Source organism: Homo sapiens, chromosome 17 (assembly GCF_000001405.40).
Source record: "Homo sapiens chromosome 17, GRCh38.p14 Primary Assembly".
Lineage (NCBI taxonomy): Eukaryota > Metazoa > Chordata > Mammalia > Primates > Hominidae > Homo > Homo sapiens.
In genome coordinates, this window is record NC_000017.11 from 9941438 (window position 1) to 9961015 (window position 19578).

The window sequence follows — 19578 nt, forward strand, 5'->3', positions numbered from 1 at the left end:
TCACCTCTACCTCTGCCCCACTTCTCTAAACCAAGATCCCAGCAAACCAGCCAGCACCTGTCCTCAAGCCAGGCGAGCTCCCAATTCTGAGCCTCAGCTCTCACCTCTCCTGGCACTAAAGGGCCTTCCCTATGAGATCCCAAGGTGGATGGTGTATGCGTTTTCTCTAGGAAGCCCGGAATGTCCTGAAATGGCAGTTTCCAATTATTTGCTAACAAGACGTTGTCATGGAAATATAAACCATAAGCGTGTTCAAGCTTTGGCTTTTACAGCAATTTTCCTATTTGCCTATTTTATACCATTGTTTTCTCAAACCCGAGCTGTGCAACCTCTCCGTTTCCCACCAGTTTAATGGGTCATAAAATAAGGATTTGATTACACAAATTGAAAATAGGCCCTCTGTCTATGCCCATACCACCCTGAACACATCCGATCTCATATGAAAATAGGCCCTCTAAGGGAAAGGGGTGCTTCAAAACGCCGAAGCATTATTACTTGATTATTGCTGTTATAATTAAAAAGGAAATATTTTTGGTCTGGCACAGTGGCTCATGCCTCTAATCCCAGCACTCTGAGAGGCTGAGGCGGGCAGATTACCTGAGGTCAGGAGTTCGAGACCAGCCTGGCCAACATGGTGAAACCCCACCTCTACTAAAAATACAAAACATTAGCTGGGCGTGGTGGTACATGCCTGTAATCCCAGCTACTCCAGAGGCTGAGACAGGAGAATCGCTTGAACCCCGGAGATGGAGGTTGCAGTGAGCCAAGACTGCGCAACTACACTCCAGCCTGGATGACAGAGCGAGACTCTGTCTAAAAGAAAAAAAAAAAAGAAATATTTTAAAAAGATATTGCAATTTGCTATATTTCCAACTCCAGGTGGAAAGTTGTGTGTTTGTGTGTGTGTGCACATGGGTGATAGGTGGGTATGTGCAGCTGTGGGTATGTGAGTGTGTGCTGAACAGAGCCTCAGAACTTGGAGACAGAGAGAGAGGAGGAAGGAGATAGAGAAGGAACTTCTCTTTCTCTTTGTCGATTTCTCCATTTCCATTGGGCTGAATTTATTGTTTCTTCATCTGTGTTCCCAAGCTCTTTAGACAAAACACTGTTATAATCCTTGAGGCAGGGATGGGGTAGGAGGAGGGTTCAACATCTCCTGCCCTGGGACACAGGTTTTGGCTAACGATGAATTGAACTGTAACATCCCCCCCACTGGTTACGGTAAAGGGCTGTGCTTCAAATGATGGCCAGGTACATAAGTAAAGGAGTGAAGGAGTCTGCGGGGGAAGACAGTACGGAATGGTGGAGACTGGCAAAATGGGAACACACACCCCCTCTACAAGAGTAGCTGCTACTCAGCTCCAGCCAAGTGTCGCGTGAGGGATGTGGAGGCAATCCTGCCAATGCTTCTGCTCTTTCAAGGTGTGCTAAATATCCAGATTTTAATATGAAATCTACCCATTTTTTTAAGTGTTGCTTTCAATATTTAAAAACACTATATCGGCCAAAGGTACACAACTGCTGACCAGATCCATCCCAGGCGCCATGAGTTTGCCGCCTGGCGCTAACCAGCCCAATGCTGAGTGTGCAGTACTGAGTCCTGTGCTGTCGCCCCGCCCCGGCCACGGGGCCCCGGGGAACACTGGTGCCAGGCCCCAGGGCTGGGAGGGGCCCAGGCTTCACCTTTCCCGGATGAATTCTGACATTTCCTTCTGCATTTGTTTGCCCTTCAGCTGTTTCTGGAGCAGTAGTTCAAACCCAGCCACGGTGCCGTTGCCTTGGGGGTCCTTCTTATCAGCCTACAAAGGAAGCAGAAGCACAAGAGTTTAGGGCACGTCTGAGTCTGGAGCCAGGGAGAATGGCGTAGAGGGAGGACGGCTCCTAGATGTGCCTGGCAATCCCAGTCCAGCACAAGACGCGGGAGCAGCTGTCTCTGCTGCCCTAACTCGGATCTCTCTCCTGGTGCCCCCACTCCCAACAGCGCTTTCTGATGCTCAGGCTCTTACAGTTGCTGCATCCCCACATCCAAGCCCCTTAACTCTCCCAACCTGGGAACTGAGAGGAAGAAGGGCAAGTGTCCAAGAGCACCGGCTGTGATGCCTAACGGCCTACGACTTCCAACCAGGTGGCTGCAGATCTGGCTTGGCCCTCGGCGAATCTTGGCATCCTGACTCCAAGCTGGACTATGTGTGAGCTCAGGAGCAGGTACCCCCAGCCTTAAGCCATCCTGTCTTCTACCAACTTCTTACACTGGTAGGGCAGTGACACCCTCTAACCACACATTCATACAAGATCACAGGAGAGAAAAGTAAATCATAGAGAGAAAGTGGGTTGAAGGGAGGCCGGAGGAGAGAACAGGACAGGCTGCCCTGAAATACTAGCTGGGTGACCTTGGCCAAGTTCTTCACTCACTCCAGGCCTAAGCTTTTTCATCTGCAAAACTGACGAAATAACAGCCCCACCTTCATGTGGTCATTTCAGGGTAAATGACCTATGTATATATCTGAGCACATTGCTGAGCACATACTATGTACCCAATAAATGGCATCTGTTATTAGTTACTTTTAAATAAAAGTCCAAACTTGGGGAGGATGGGCAAGTCAATGAAATAAGTACTTAGCAGCCAATTAATTTTGCAAACAAATATTCTTAAAATTTCAAAATTAAATGATTTATTTTATTTTACCTGCATTTCTTCAAGCATACCAAATGCCCCTTCCCTGCCATTCCCCTGCCTGAGATTCACCCACACATCTGCCCGCACGGCCGTGGCTGCTGGAGCACCAGCTCCCAGGGCCATCCCAGGCATGTCTAAAAGTGTCCTCCTCCTTACAGCTTTTCCCTATCAGGAACCCAGGGTCAAACACTTTGATACTTAATGGAAGGTGTTCAGAACAGGTTTTTGATATCCCAGAGAGAGAGGTGCATTGGTGAGAACAGTGTCCCAGCATCTGGTAGGACCCAGGTTCTTGTCTCTGCTCAGCTGCAGGGTGTCCAATCCTAGGTAGTATCTCCCCGGACCACCCCCTTGAAATAGGGGTGGGTTGCATCTCTCAGATCCCATCCAGATCAGACATTTTAGGAGAGGGGAAAGAAAAGGGGTTGCTGATGCCTGCAGGGAACCCCATTTACCATCATCAAGTAGATGAAGGATTTTATGGACACCTTCCCAGTTCCCCCGGTGTGGGACCCCTCCCTCGGGTGCCATAACTCAAAGGCCTCCGGCCACGCTGCTAACATCCCTGATGACAGGGAGATCACCATCCTACGGGGTCACAGTCGGGCTGTTCTTGCAGTTTAAAAGCAATGTCCACTGAAGATCTCTGTGCTTCACTCTACGAATGCTACATCTTGATGAAAAAGCAGAAGGAAAATTATCCAAATACTGAGCTCAAATCTGCCTCCCTTCTAGGATGGATATGCTGAGCTATGCACTCTGGGGAAAACCAGCCAGAAGAAACAGGCTTTAATGACTGTGTCAGGAGAGAGAAATTTCTATTAATGGAAAAGGCCTTGATGGTCAGGGGGATAAGTGGATTGCAGATTAAGTATCAGAGTCCCCAGAGAGCTCGAATTAAGATAAGAACTCACAAGTGTCGCCCTCCGGATGCTGCTGGATGCAGGCGGCATCAGACATTCCTACCAGCTTTCCAAGGCTTGAGACCCCACACGCTGACCTCCAGCAACTAGGATACCCATTTCCAGGGCTCAAACCACTCTCTCCTTGAACCCTCCATTTACTGCACCCCTCTTGAGAGATGATGTTTCCAAACCCAGGTACATCTCTCCCTCTCTGCCGCCACCACCATCTTTCCTGGTCTCTTCCACTCACCCGTCAACTTCCCACCCCCACCTGCACAATGCCTATGAATCAGATCACATCATATTGCTGCTTAAGACCTTCTAACACCCTCCTTCCACAAGCAGAATAAAACTCACTTACTGGGGCCTAGAAAGTCTTACGCACTCTGATGCTTGCTTACCCCGATGCTTGCTTACCCCGCCCTCTGAGCTCACCTGCCCAGGTCTGTCTGATGCCAAAGATAAGCCCCTTTATACTGTTTCCTCAACCAATGCACAGATCTCTACCCTGGACACAGCACAGCTGGAGCTACAGAAATTGTGCCTTGGTGAGAGGTGTAGGCAACAGGGATCTTTGTATATCTTCTAAGGTACAAGCGATTTTGTAGAAAGAGAAAAGCACTTTTATCTAGTATTCGGTTAGCAAATCTAAAAAAGTGTAGATAATCCGGCTGGGCACGATGGCTCATGCCTGTAATCCCAGCACTTTGGGAGGCCAAGGTGGGTGGATCACCTGAGGTCAGGAGATTGAGACCAGCCTGGCCAACATGATGAAATCCTGTCTCTATTAAAAAAATAAAATAAAATACAAAAAATTAGTTGGGTGTGGTGGCACACATCTGTAGTCCCAGCTGCTCAGGAGGCTGAGACAGGAGAGTCGCTTGAACCTGGGAGGTGGAGGCTGGAGTGAGCCAAGATCACACCACTGCACTCCAGCCTGGGTGAGACAGAGTGAGACTCTGTCTCAAAAAATCCATTCTTGCAAAGTGGTGAAAACAAAGTTTTTACTTATTTATTGTTCCTTGGAGTCTTTGGACACTTGTTTTTTTGAAATGTACAATTTAGTGGTTTTCAATACATTCACAGGGTTTGTGACCATCCCCACTATCTGATTCCAGAAAGGGGTGATCTAATTCTGAAAGTCACTATGACTTTAACATGCAAATGGCCCAGGACCATTCCCAGGATATTCTGAGGTACAGGACTCTGCATTTCTACAAATTTATTTATTTGAATGGTGAAAAAAATACATCTAGCACACAACGGACCATTTTAGCCATTTTTAAGAATGCAGTTCAGTGGCATGAAGTACATTCACATGGTTGTGCGACCATCACCACCATCCACCTGCAAAATTGTCTTTAATCTTGCAAAACTAAAACTCTGTGTTCGCTAAGTGATCTGCAAACGTTTTAAAACTACAGGATTACCCAAGCTGGAGCTCTCTGAAGATCCTGTGCCCAACTGCCTCACAATTCTGATGAGAACACTGAGGCCCAAGGAGGTGAAGCACTTGTCCAACGTCACTCACGTAAGTGACAAGCAGGTATGGAGCCCACGTTCATTTATTGAGGCAGATTCTAGTCTCCTGCCTTCACTGAGCATCGGAGAAAATGGCCCCCCGCTTACCTACATTCTGGTTGAAGTGTCTGTAATGTGAACAAAAGTCCTGCTGAACCCCTGAGATTCATGGAATGAGCTGGACCCCAAGAGGGTCCTAAGTTCCTGTCACAGATGCAAACTCTAACACCAGCCCTTCACGCTCCAACGAGAAAGGCCCCTCCACTTTGAGATCCAGGTCCCTCCTACCCATCCTGGGTGTCCACTCCCGGTCACCGGGGTCACGCTGTGGGGGAAACTGAGGCGCTGCTTACCCAGAAGTAGTCGCAGTAGCTCCACTCGGTTGGTTTCAGCAGCTGCTGTTCCGGCATCGTGTCTGGGTGAGGGAACGTCACACAGTTTATCTGTAGGGCACAGAACAAGAAAGAATGACCCCGCTGGAGACTGGAATAGCGAGGAAGGCTTCGGCTCCTGGGGGACACGGCACTGGAGCAGCCTCCCTATTGACAGAACACGCACAGGGATCTTCCCGTGCTCCAGGGGCCAGCATTTCACATGAGCGGCAACAGGTGCTCACCCCCACCCCAAATGGGCTGTGAACCAGTACCACCTCTCTAGATGGCAGTTTACTAGGATCAAAATTGCAAACTTCAGGTGCCTTTGACCCAGCAATTGCACAAGAGTCTATCATACAGATACAGTTGCATGGGGGCAGTGACATCCACACACGCTTTTTCACGACAGCGCTATTTATGGCCGTTAAAGGCTGGAAAACAACTCCAATGTCCATCAGTGGGGGAATGGTTAAACAAAGTATGAGATAGACATCTATGGAAATCAGAAAGGACATGGTGATGAAGTTCTTAAATTTAATTAGGAAAGCGGCCGGGCGCGGTGGCTCACGCCTGTAATCCCAGCACTTTGGGAGGCCGAGGCAGGCGGACCACCTGAGGTTGAGAGTTCGAGACCAGCCTGACCAACAGGGAGAAACCCCGTCTCTACTAAAAATACAAAATTAGCTGGGCGTAGTGGCGCATGCGTGTAATCCCAGCTAGTCGGGAGGCTGAGGGAGGAGAACCACTTGGACCCGGGAGGCAGAGGTTGCAGTGAGCCGAGATGGCACCATTGCTCTCCAGCCTTGCAGTGAGCTGAGATCATGCCATTGTACGAACGAAACTATGTCTCAAAAAAAAAAAAAAGAAAATTTAACAAGGAAAATGTGCCAGGATATATGGTTAGGTGAAGGTTAAAAACAAAAAAAAAAAAAAAGCAAGCAGAGTATTATAGTTCCTTTTCAAAAAGGAAGACAAGACCAGCCCCTCCTCTTCCTCCTCCTGCTTCGCCCATTCAATGTGAAGATGTTGAGGATGAAGACCTTGAGGATGACCCACTTCCACTTAAAGAATAGTAATTATATTTTTCTTGTTTATAATTGTCTTAACATTTTATTTTCTCTAGCTTACTTTACTGTAAGAATACAGTGTATAATACACATAAACATGCAAAATATGTGTTCATGTCAGTAAGGCTTCTACTCAACAAGAGGCTATTAGTAGTTAAGTTCTGGGGAGTTCAAAGTTATATGTCAATTTTGGACTATGGGTGAGGAGGGGGCACCCCTAGCTCCCATGTTGTTCAAGGGTCACCTGTATAATACACATCTGGTTATTTGCATATAGAATATTCCTGGAAACTGATAACATTGTTTGCTTCCAAGGAAAGGAACTGTGTGGGTGAGGGTCAGGGGTGAGAGATTACCTTGCAAATTTTATGTCACGATGTGTATCATACGAACAAATACACCTTAAAATTATAATCTGGGGGGCCGGGCACGGCAGTTCACGCCTGTAATCCCAGCACTTTGGGAGGCCGAGGCAGGTGGATCATGAGGTCAGGAGTTCGAGACCAGCCTGACCAATATGGTGAAACCCCTTCTCTACTAAAAACACAAAAATTAGCCAGGCGTGGTGGCATGTGCCTGTAATCCCAGCTACTCAGGAGGCTGAGGCAGGAGAATCGCTTCAACCCAAGAAGCAGAGGTTGCAGTGAGCCGAGATTGTGCCATTGCACTCCAGCCTGGGTGACAGAGTGAGACTCCCCCTCAAAAAAAAAAAAAAATCTGGGTTGCACGTGTAAGGCTGGCCCTAGCTAAGGAGCGTGAAGTACAGAAATTTTCAGGTCATCTCAGCCTTTTCTGCCCGAGCACATCTGCAATACTGCCTGGCTTTTCCCCATTGTGTGGAGGTGGCTTCAGGCCCCAGATTCCCACCTCTCCTAGGACGCGGGCTAATTTGCTTCCTCTGTGGGAGCAAGGCCTGAGCCTTATAAGTCTTTAACCCCTTCTTGCAGCCCAAGCACCTGCTGAAGTGGAAAATGTCACACATTAAAAAATGATGCAGCCCTGAGGTTTTGGGCCCAGGACACAAACTCCAATGCTAGGCGGGGTGTGCAAGCCAGTGAGGTACCCAGGCGTCACAGAAACTGCAGCTGGGACAGGAGGGCGGACAGCGTCACAGAAACTGCAGCTGGGATAGGAGGGCGGACAGCATCTGCTTTGGGCAGGGGTCAGAGGCTGCAGAGATGCGTCCAAGGGGCAGATCCTGCTCAGCTCTTTGGGCAGGGGCCAGAGGCTGCAGAGATGCGTCCAAGGGGCAGATCCTGCTCAGCTCTTGCCAAGTGTCGTCAAGCCCTTCTGAGGAGTCCAGTGCTGACGGATTATGTGATGACTCGAGGGAAGCTGAAAATGGGGACTTTTATGCAAAGTGTCTCCATTTTTAAGTGTTGGCAATTAATTCAAGGTTAAAAACAATAATAATAAACACAATAACACCATGTAGGCCCAACAAACTCTTCTGTCAGCAAAGTCAGGCCCATGGACCTCCCGTTGTGACCTCTGGTTCAGGAAGCTCCTGGGTGGCTAGAAGTAAATCTAGCGCACACCCCCTCCCCAGCTGCCAGGGCACAGACCTCAGTCGCAGTCTGGGGAGAAGTCCCCAACAAAAGAAGGAGCCTCCTCCTCCCAGATCCTTACATGTGGTTAAGGTGAGGGCTGAGGTCCCCACCACCCTAGAGGGAAACACAACTCAGCAGAAGGATCAGAGGCAGGAATGACGTGGACGACCCTGGAGATGACAGGGCTGCACCAAATTCTGCCAAGGATAATCCCTTCTTCTCTTTCTCCTTCCCTTCCTCCCCTCCTCCCTTCCTCTCCTCCTCTCCTCCCCTCCCTCCTTCCCTCCCTCTTTCCCTCTTCCCCTCCCTCCTTCCCTCCTGCCCTCCCTCCCTCCCTCCCTTTCTTTTTTAGACAGAATCTTGCTCTGTCACCAGGCTGGAGTGCAGTGGCACGATCTCGGCTCACTGCAACCTCTGCTTCACTGGCTCAAGTGATTCTCCTGCCTCAGCCTCTCCCGGGTAGCTGGGATTACAGGTGCATGTCACCACACCTGGCTAGTTTTTGTATTTTTAGCAGAGACAGGATTTCACCACGTTGGCCAGGCTGGTCTCAAACTCCTGACCCCAAGTGATCCACCCTCCTCGGCCTCCCAAAGTGCTGGGATTACAGGCATGAGCCACTGTGCTGGGCCTCTTTCTCCTTTTCAAAATGTGTAACTTCTAAGAATACAACATTATCTATGTAAGATTCCTGGCCAGGGCATGGTGGCTCACATCTGTAATCCCAAGACTTTGGGAAGCCAAGGCGGGCAGATCACTTGAGCTCAGGAGTTCAAGACCAGCCTGGGCAACATAGCACAACCTTGTCTCTACAAAAAATAAAAAACAAAACTAGCCAGGTATGGTGGCACACACTTGTAGTCCCAGCTACTTGGGAGGCTGAAGCAGGAGGATCTCTTGAGCCTGGGAGGTTGAGGCTGCAGTGAGCTATGATTATATCACTGCACTTTAGCCTAAGTTAAAAAAAAATCCTGTCAAAAATATTTAATCTGAATCTAATGATAAGTGGGGAAAATCAAGATAGTTTTTTAAAAGGCACCTTGTGGCAGCGTGTGGTGGCTCACGCCTGTAATCCTAGCAATCTGGGAGGCCCAGGTGTGCGGATCACAAGGTCAGAAGTTGGAGACCAGCCTGGCCAACATAGTGAAACCCTGTCTCTACTGAAAATACAAAAATTAGCCGGGCATGGTGGTGGGCGCCTGTAATCCCAGCTACTCGAGAGGCTGAGGCAGGAGAATTGTTTGAACCCGGGAGGTGGAGGTTGCAGTGAGCCGAGATCGCGCCATTGCACTCCAGCCTGGGTGACAGGGCGAGACTGTGTCTCAAAAAAAAAAAAGGTGCACAGCTTCCTGAACTCTAAAAAATTAGCACTGTGATGGATTAAAAAAACAAAGGCTAGATGAAGATCAGCTGAGGCTGGGGAGTTTTCTCCCAGGCCTCAGCAGCCTCAGTGAGAGAAGGGAGGGCCAGTTCTTGAGGCCAGCAGCAGAAAGCCCCAAGCCTTGGTTTCGGGCCGAGTCCCCAAGGTGTGTCCAGAGACAAGTCTCCTTCCTTCCTGTGCCTCCACAACCCACTGCCAAGCAGGCAATCATGAAAACAAGGGACGGGTTTCAAAAGTGCACAGATTCCTTATTTTGTATTCCAATTATTCTTATTTCAACAAATCACAGTCATCACAGTCCATCTTTATGTTACTGAATAATGCAGTCCATGAAAATTTCAATCAAATTTAATGATAAATTAACTATGACATTAAAGTAAATTGAGCATTAAGAATGATGGAACGAGTAGAGTTGTGGGTACTCAGAGGCGGGTCTGAATGCTTCTGGAGTGGCCTGCCCTGCGGGCATCTCTCCCCTTTCCATCGTCTTTCCTCACTCAAACTGCTCTTGGCCTTGCCCTCTTGTCGGGGAAACACTTCCCTACAAAGAAAGGACTTTCCTGGCCAGGTGCGGTGGCTCATGCCTGTAATCCCAGCACTTTGGGAGGCCGAGATGGGTGGATCACCTGAGGTCGGGAGTTGGAGACCAGCCTGACCCACATGGAGAAACCCCATCTCTACTAAAAATACAAAATTAGCCAGGCTTGGTGGCGCATGCCTATAATCCCAGCTACTTGGGAAGGCTGAGGCAGGAGAATCGCTTGAACCTGGGAGGTGGCGGTTGCGGTGAGCCAAGATTGCGCCATTGCATCATTCCAGCCTGGGCAACAAGAGCAAAACTCTGTCTCAAAAAAAAAAAAAAAAAAAAAAAAAACAAGAAGAAAGGACTTTCCCATGTCAGGAAGAGGCTTGGCCAAAACGTGGGGCAGGCAGGAGGAGAAATGGGTCTTGGCCAGTCTTGTTCCCCCCAGAATCTTCCTGAGTTGACTTACCCTCAGAGTGAGGATGCCACCGTGCACCCCAGCAGGCCTGTGCAGACAGACTGCTAGCCGGAAGAGGAGACGGTACCAAGGACAGCCCCTTCAATGATGCATCCTGGCTGGCTCCAAGCCAACCACCTAAAAGGCCATGGAAGTCCTGAGGAGGACTGAGACCCACCTAAGTACCACTCAGTCCCCTTCTTGTCCCAGAGTCGAGGATGAACATGCCTCAGAGTCACCTAGAGGACATGGGTTGCTGGGTCCCACCCCCCACTGTCTGATTCAGGAGCTCTGGATGGGGTCTGAGCTCTCAAGTGATGCTGAAGGTCCAGGGACCACACTTTGAGAACCAGCATTCGTGATCCATTTAGCAGGGACAGGGACAGCCCCTGGGGGAGACCTTGTGCCCACCACAATGGAAGACACACAGATAAACAAGCCACAGAGCCCTGCTCTTAAGATCCTACATGGCAAGTGGGCAAAGGACATGAACAGACACTTTTTCTTTTTTTTTTTGAGATAAAGTTTTGCTCTTGTCACCAAGGTTGGAGTGCAATGGCATGATCTCAGCTCACTGCAACCTCCACCTCCCGGGTTCAAGCGATTCTCCTGCTTCAGCCTCGCGAGTAGCTGGGATTACAGGTGCCTGCCACCATGCCCGGCTAATTTTTGTATTTTTAGTAGAGACAGGGTTTCACCATGTTGGTCAGGCTGGTCTCGAACTCCTGACCTTCAGGTGATCCACCCACCTTGGCCTCCCAAAGTGTTGGGATTACAGGCGTGAGTCACCGCGCCCGGCCCAGACACTTTTCAAAAGAAGACATATGTGCAGCCAACAAGCATATGCAAAAATGCTCATCACCGCTAATCATTAAAGAAAGGCAAATCAAAACCACAATGAGATATCATGGCATGCCAATCAGAATGGCTATAATTAAAAAGGTCAAAAAATAACAGGTGCTGGCAAGGTTGCAGAGAAAAGGGAACACTTATACACAGTTGGAGGGAGCATAAATTAGTTCAACCATGTGGAAAGCAATGTGGTGATTCCTCAAAGAACTAAAAACAGAACTATCATTCGACCCAGCAATCCCATTACTGGGTATATACCCAAAGGAATATAAATCTTTCCACATAAAGACACATGGACGCATATGTTCATTGCAGCACTATTCACAATAGCAAAAACATGGAATCAACTTAAATGCCCATCAACGATATACTAGATAAAGGAAACGTGGTACATATACAACATGAAATACTATGCAGCTGTAACAAAGAATAAGATCATGTCCTTTGCAGGGACATGGATGGAGCTGGAAGCCATTATCCTTAGCAAACGAATGCAGGAACAGAAAACAGGTTGGGGCAGAAGAGTAAAGGCAGTAGAATGTGAGGACTCATTAAGGACTCATCACCCTGCTGCTTCTGCCACTCCTTGAGGATACCAGTCCTCAGATGGAGCCCCGAGGTGCCTGCCACTGTCTCTGTCCTCTCTCATTTTGGGATTTCTCCCTCCCAGGAAGCCCACTGGGATTTCTCCAAATCCTCACTCCTGCAGGGGAGCCCTGACTCAGGCACCCTCTTTAGGGCTTTGCATGTATTCTCATTTCATCTTCCCAGCAACTCCACAGGGGAGGAAGAACAGCCTCATCGTATATGAGGAAACTGAGGATCACAGAAGCGAGGTATCCGAATCCAGATCCAGCTGACTGCAGAGCTCCAGCCTCGACCACGAAGCTATGTGATGGGCTATTTGCTCGTTCACTTTCCATTCGAACATCTGTTGAAAGGCTGCTCAGTGCCACGTGCTACGCTAGCTCTTCCCAGCAAGCTGCATGCATACATTTGTAATGATATTTCTCGTGATGGTTTATTTAATGTTTCTCCTCCTTGCCAGACAGCCTGTTCTACAAGGGGATGGGGACCATCTTTTCCCTGCCATTTCCCTCCTGACTGGTGCAGTGTTGGGTACATAGTGGGTGCTCAGGAGATGTTTCTTGGTGCAGTGGCCGGAGGCTAGGAATGTAAGGCATCATCTCTGCTCTCAACAGTTCCGTAAATAAGTCACTGTAATTCTTTGGGATAAACCTGCCAGTGGAGTAAGCCTGAGGTGCTGAGGTTACTGGAAGGACTGAGGGTCCAGGGGAGGAATCTTAGATTTAGGTAATAATAGTAGGGCCCAGGCAGACAGAGGGGTGGGAAGGTGAGAAGGGTACTGCAGGAAGGGAAAGGACTCAGGATGAGAGGATATGCCCTACAGGTGGGGACCGCGTTGCTCGGTTTGGCTGAGCTGTGTCCCACTGCGTACCCCTCAGAGAGCTTCTGGGAGGCAGCCCTTGTGCTTCTGGCTGCTCCTGAGTCAGGGAGTAGACAAGACTGAGCTGAGAGGGGGTCTTGCAGGGGTGCCAAGGTCTGTCCTGAAGGCAGCAGGACAGCGGGGGCCACAGAAGCACCCTGCAGGAGAGTAACAATTAATCAGGCTGTTGTCTGGGGTGAGCACCCCCACTACAGCATAGAGGATGCACTGGAGGGAGAACGTGACTGTGGCCATCAGGGCAGTCTGCAGTGATGGGGGATGGGGGGTGGGGGGTGGGGGGTCATGATAGCAGCTGGGAGCAGCATAGTCAAGAGGGGATTAGAAGAAGCCTGGGATACTCTACAGGTAGCCCTTGACAGCACCATGAAGTCAATTCAGTGATGCCCATCCAGGGACAATTTTTCCCCCACCCCAGAAACATCTAGCAACGTGGAGACATTTTTGGTTGTCACAGCTGTGTGGGGTCGAGGGTGGATGCTATTAGCCTCTGGTTGGTAGGGGCCAGGGAAGGTGATACATATCTACAATGCACGGGACAGCTCCCCACAACAAAGTGCTATCCAACCCAAAAGATCAATGGTGCTGAGGCTGAGAAACCCTGAGTTGACTGACCTGGGTGGAGAGGAAGCATGTTTCCATCCATTGGGATGGAAGATGGAAGAACAGTCCCTTCGGAGAGAGGGAGGCAGTGGCAGCAGAGGGGCATGGTGAGAGGTGTGTGCGCGCAGATGTCCTGGAAGCAACTGGAGCCTCGATGTTTATTTGCAATGGTCTAGTGCAACCTCATGCACAGATGAGGAAACTGAGACACAGAATGTTTAATTCTAGTTCACTATAAGTGGCAGAGCAGGGTCCAGAACCAGCTTCCTAATTCCTGGGCCACCACTTTTATCCTTGCTGTGTCCTTCTGTGACATCCAGACCTCAAAGTCAAGGCTCCTAGGTCCCTGGATCAGAAGGGCTGAGAGGGCCACACAGCTCCACCCTGCGGTGCTCCAAAGCCCAAGGAGGGAAGAGAAGGTGGGACAGGACTTTCCGCATGTGGATTCCTGTCCTCCCCCCGGTTACATTTTCCTGATGGTTAATACCAGGGTCCAGCTACACCTCTGGAAAGACCTCATCCTCCTCCCAAGGCCTCCCAGGCATAGCAGGAGCTTCACTGCCATCCTAAAGATCCACTTTCTGTTTGTTCAACAAAAGCAAATAATGTGCCAGCCACAGTTCTCAGCGTTTTACACGTATTAGCTCATTGAATCCTCACAACAGCCCTGCAAGGCAGGTGCTATTATTATCCCCATTTTACAGATAAGGAAACTGAGGCACAGAGAGGCTAAGTCACTTATGCAAGATCACACAGTTTGTGCATGGAATAGGTGGACCCAGGCTCTGAACCCACGCAAGCCGGCTTCAGTCTAGGCTCTTAGCCTCTGTCACACTACCTTTCCAACACACTGAGGTATAAATGTGCCAGGTCCCCACCAAAGGCAGGGGCTCAAAAAGGAAGGGTGCTCAAGAGGGAGCCAGAGAGGGGCACGCCTCCCCGTGTGTACTGCTCAGGGCAAGTTCCAGCAGGCAGTCCCACCCTCACTTCCCCCGAGACCAGTGTCCTCAACAAAGCCGCGTCTTCGCTCTTGCACCAACTCTGTTTTCTCCAACCCTCAGGTAAATGGAGTGACACCCCCATCGCTCCCCAGCTGCTGGGGTCCACTGTGCAGCTGGGGTTCCTGCAGGGCTTTTCCGCACAGGAGCAGCCAGAAGCACATGGGCTGCCTCCCAGAAGCTCTCTGAGGGGTACGCAGTGGGACACAGCAGCCAGAAAACCACCTGGCTGAGGTGTGAGAGCCACTGAACACACGTGTGACCAAGGGGGCTGACATACGGAGGCCCCAAGGCATGCCCCTCCCCTAAGTCCTGGCCCAGCAGGAGCCTGTGGGGAACAGAGGCCACAGGCTTCTTGCACGGCCTGTTTGACCACCTTGCCTGCAGCAGAGAAGGGAAAATGGTTTGACAACTGAGGGTTCAAGTCCAACAGGCTCTGAATTTTCTCCCAGAGGAAAGCTGATCTGGGAGGGTATGGGAGAGGAACAAGCCAGCCCCGGAGCTCTGTGGAACAGAGAAGAAGAGTAGACAGGACCCCAAGGGTTCACCTCCAGCCCCTACCCCGGGTTCTGTGGCTACGCTGGGAAGCCCTGAAGCTGAGGACCACAGGTGTCCCCAAATTCCTCTTTCCAGGTGAGAGTGTGGCCGGGTGGCTTTGCTGTCATCTTTTCTGAAACCCTCTAGATTCAGACGCGTTCATGCTCCTGCCAAGGGCTGTGAGCTGCCATGAGCACCCGTCACTCCCAATCAAACAGCACACTCCACCTGCCAGCCCCACACCAGGGACAGCGGAAACAAGACCCAGCAAGGCTGCCAGCCCCTGCCCGTTGCTGTCAGGGGGCCCATGTGTCTGTCCCCTGAAAACCCATAGCCTGGGGAAAAAGGAGCGTCAGAATCCAGCTCCATTCTTTCTCTGGATCCACCACCCTTTGCTGCCCAGGCCTGGAAATTTCTGCTCTGCGGGATCAGACAGCACGGGAAGCGGCTCACCTCATCCCTACACACCACAGAAAAGGAAGTTCACGCCCCAGCCTCCTGAGACCTGAGCCATCCCTTTCGCCCTGAGCATCTCCTTCTTGGGAAACCATGAACTCTGGAGGATCAGAACCCAGAGGAAGAGGCTGGGCATGGGAGAGCGGTGTTGTGTGGAAGGGAAAAGGCACCAAGGCCTGGAGACCTGTGGGCCAAGGCCAGGTGGTACACCGGGAAGTGTCCTGGGCCAGCAGCCAGGAGACCTGGGTTCAAGTCCTGGGCTCTGCTCCTCACTTGTTTTGTGACCTCTGGCCAGTCGCTCCTTTGCTCAGTTTCTCTGGCAAAAAAATTCTCCAAGGCATGAGTGTTTACTTAAAACCTCTGGGGAACACTGGCTCAAATGCAGATTTTCCAGTCTGGCCCCAGAGAAAACAACTGAAGGTCTGGGGTGCCATCCAGGAATCTGCATTTTAAAAAAGGTCTTGGAGGCTTGAGAATACAATTTGCAGACTCCCTCATGAGAAGCAATGATATGGCTCAGCAGGAAGCGACAGGGAAGGCAGGGATGGGCGAGGTGTGCTGCCCATCAGGGGCCCAACAAGGGCCGCCATCAGCCCCCTCCGGCCACACCCGAAGCCCTGGCTGTAAGATGGACTCCAGCAGGTGCCCCACCCTGTGGCCTGGGCACCATCACTAAGCGCCTTTAAGGCAACCCTCCACGACATAACACTCTGCTTTTCACTTTGCATTTTTGTTTTTCTTCTAGAATTCAAATATGTCTCCCACTCCGACCTCCCCCCCTTTCTCCTCCCCCTCCTTTTTATGTATTTCAGAAGACTCTGGAGAGCTCCTGCTGTGCCCCAGCATTCTGGGGCATTTTGTGACAATTTGAAGATGGGGACTGTACCCTCTGGAACTCTGCACCTGAGCCTGCCCACACCCCCTACCCACCAGCTCCATCAACTCCACCGGTAACAGGGAGGCTGCTGCTACCCCACAGTCCAAGCAGGCTGAGTCGTTCTGCCCAGCCCTTGGAGACACCGTCCATCAGCACAGGGCACTCCAAAGGAGCTCATGACACAAGGAACCCAAGCCAGCTCCAGAAGGGGCACTGTGGTAAGGACATAGATTTCAAATCCTGATACTTCCCAGCTGGGTGACCGTGAGCAAGGTGCGGCTCTGTGCCTCAGTTTCCTCATCTGTAAACAGGGTGATGAGTGTGCACAGAGCACTTACTATATGCAGGCTCTGTTCTAAGTGCTTTCCATGGATGGACCCATTTAGTCCCTACACCATCCCTAAGGCAGAGACCACCCACTACCCCCCATTTCCCCACTTGACAGTTATTGACTGAGACGGGAAGAAGTCAAGAAACTTGCCCCAGGCTGTTGCACTGTCATTAATATAACCGACACTCTGGCCTCAGAGTCCACGTTCATCATCGTTATACTATATTGATTCCACGACTGACACTTCATATAGCTAATGGACAATTAAATGAGCCACTTGGATCACTACATGTGCATAATAAGTGCACACAAAAGTTGCAGCAATTGTTATTGTTAATTGTTTACCTACACTTTTTCTCCCAAAGCAGGATGTGCAGCCTGGACGAAGCAGGGAAATGCACCCACTCTTGGTTTTGTCTCCACAGGGGTGGTCGGAATGGCTCAGAGCTGTGTGAGTTGGAGCCTAAGAGAGCAATACCCCGTTCCCTGCTCTCCTGCCCTTGTGCCAAAATAGCAAACCTGCGACCACACTTCTCAGGCCTGTGCCCCTCAGGGGGCAATGATGTCCAGCCCCAGCTGCCCCAAACACAGGGCTGAGGAGCAGAGGTGGAGTGTGGGGCTCCCCTTCATCTCTGCATGGGGGTGGGTGGGGTGGGCTCCCCCTCATCTCCACATGGGGTTGGGCATCTCGAAGCGCCCTGGGAGGCAGGCTGGCCACTCTAGGCAGAAGCTGCCTGCTCCCCTCAGGGACTCCTAGGAACTCTATTCTTAGGACGCTTTCTCTTGCTTTTTACTTTGACATCTTCCAGAAGTTACCCCGCACAAAAGCAACCCTGCCGTGGCTGTAATTTACACGTCACATCACTTGCGCTGAGCACAGTCCACCCCCTTCAACCCACTCCCGCACGCATACCTTCCCCTCCTGCCCTGAAAAAACGGCTTCTGCATCATCCCAGCCATCCTCCTTCCACTTGTTCACCAGGAGAGAAGTGAAATGTGAAATTGACAGGAGAAGGGGAGGTGGGAGGGGCATGTGGATGGGGAACTTGAGTGAAATCCGAGCTTTGGAACTTCCCCGTTTCCAGGTTGGGCATCACTTCTGCTTGGCGGTCCACATCGCCATGGCAACAGCCCAGCCAAATGCCCCAGCTCGCAGCCCACCCTGAGGGCGCCCCTCGGGAGCCACTTACTGTGATGGTGTTTTCCTTGCTCTGCTTTTTGCTTGGCGATGAGGATCCCAGGTTCTGGGGAGAGAGGCAAGAAACATCGTCAAAGCTGTTCTCCATATTGGACATTTTTTCCCCCCATTCAGGTTCCCTGAGGGTGGAGGCGCTGGGGAATCAGGGATGCTCAGTCTGAATCCTAAGTCACCATATTCTGGGCCAGGGCAAGCAGGGGTCTCCCTGACCCCACGCTGTTCCCACGCCCAGCTCTCGGGCTGAAGGCGAATTAAGGAAGCCTCCTGCACAGGCTCTGAGAGAACTGCTCCAAACCAGGTCTCCCCTCCTCTTCTCTCAGTCTGTGATTTGGGGAGTTAACCCCTCCGCTGCCCTCTGCTGGTGAACGTTCCGCGTGCCGCTTGCTGCCTGAAGCCGCGGAATCCACTGGGGAGAAGAGAGTTAAGGCCACCACCTCCTGGCACTGAGGAATCAGCACACGACATTTTATTCTGAAACCCCCCGGGTCCAAAACGTCAAACCTAAATACACACAATGTGCACTGGGGCGCTGCTCGGTCACCTCCCTGACTCCCCGCTCCCCCAACCCCGTGAGCCAGGAGGGATTTCTCAGCCAAACCGACTTCCAGCTTCCACTCAGTCTTTATATTGCCTTTTGATGTCTTCCACCGCCAGTAAGAAAACCAGAGTCCCAAGTACCTCTGAGCCTGGGGTCCTCAGCAGTTTGCCAAAGTCCTGGGATCGTTCTGGCAGAGAAAATTAAGGACTGCCAGTGCAAAATGCTACACGTGTCCTAAGAGCCTACGACTCCAAAGAATGTTTGATTCTGGGTCTCTGTTGTTCTATTAGCAATTATGTTGGGGGCTCAATACCAGAGATCCCCAAGCAGGACCTGGGATGTCTCCTATCCTGAGCCACACAGCAACCTGGGAAGCAGGCTTACCCCTAAGGCACCGCAGGTGGCCATCACACTTGTGCCCCAGGACTTGTGCATGACCTTATTCTTTTTTTTTTTTTTTAAGATGGAGTGTCATTCTGTCACCCAGGTTGGAGTGCAGTGGCGTGATCATGGCTCACAGCAACCTCTGCCTCCCAGGTTCAAGCAATTCTCCTGCCTCAGCCTCCTGAGTAGCTGGGATTACAGGTGCCCGCCAGCACGCCCAGCTAATTTTTGTATTTTTAGTAGAGACAGGGTTTCACCATGTTGGCCAGGCTGGTCTCGAACTTTTGACCTCAGGCGATCCACCTGTCTCGGCCTCCCAAAGTGCTGGGATTATAGGCATGAGCCACTGCGGCCAGTCTGGCCTTACTCTTCCTTGGTAGAATGTAAGGAAGTGGCTGTCACTTTATAGATAAAGGCCAGAAAAAGGATGGAGGGGCTTCAACAAGAAGGAACCACCGGCTTGGAGTGGGGGGCACCCCGCCCCTCAGGCCAGCACGACCCTGGACACCTGGCCAAATGACCATCTGCAGGTGAGGGCGAGCCTTTGCCTCAGAAACCCGTCAGCAAATTAGGCAAACCAGGGAGCTTGACTATGCCCCTGCTAAGGTCGCATACCCTTACTCCCATACAGTCTTACTTGGGTTGCTAATTAAAGTCAACTCAGGAAAACTGATATCCTTAAGGTGTCTAGCAAAAATGAACCTTACAGAGCATTAATTTCACAGACAAGAAAATGATTACTAGCCTTGAGACCCTGGCCAGAGAATCTGACTTCTTTGAGCCTCAATTTCTCCATCTGTCAAATGGATGGTTATCACTGGTCCTCAAGCTTTGAGGTGCATCAGAATCAACTGAGGAAAAAGTGTCCAAAATAGAGTCCCAGC

The 19578-nt window shown here is 50.7% G+C and overlaps 1 protein-coding gene across 13 annotated transcripts in view, besides 1 other annotated feature; it reads right to left on the reverse strand.

Moving 5' to 3' along the window:
- The window catches only part of GAS7 (growth arrest specific 7), a 288001-nt gene that overhangs the window by 30832 nt on the left and 237591 nt on the right, over nt 1-19578 (reverse strand). For 12 of the 13 annotated variants that reach the window (NM_201433.2, XM_011524044.4, XM_047436955.1 and 9 more), the window contains 3 exons: nt 17765-17818; nt 5457-5546; nt 1684-1799 (listed from right to left, as the gene is read on the reverse strand). In NM_201433.2, coding sequence (NP_958839.1) covers nt 1684-1799; nt 5457-5546; nt 17765-17818 — 260 coding nt within the window. Of the gene's footprint in view, nt 1-1683; nt 1800-5456; nt 5547-17764; nt 18059-19578 lie in introns of those variants that run through there. The other variant, NM_003644.3, reaches the window with a different exon arrangement.
- Nucleotides 17383-17576: a silencer, noted in NCBI's record as "fragment chr17:9862137-9862330 (GRCh37/hg19 assembly coordinates)". NCBI's record gives its function as "represses an EF-1alpha promoter that drives an FKBP-Casp9 reporter gene in an ReSE screen in HepG2 liver carcinoma cells {active_cell/tissue: HepG2}" and the evidence as "EXISTENCE:reporter gene assay evidence [ECO:0000049][PMID:32094911]".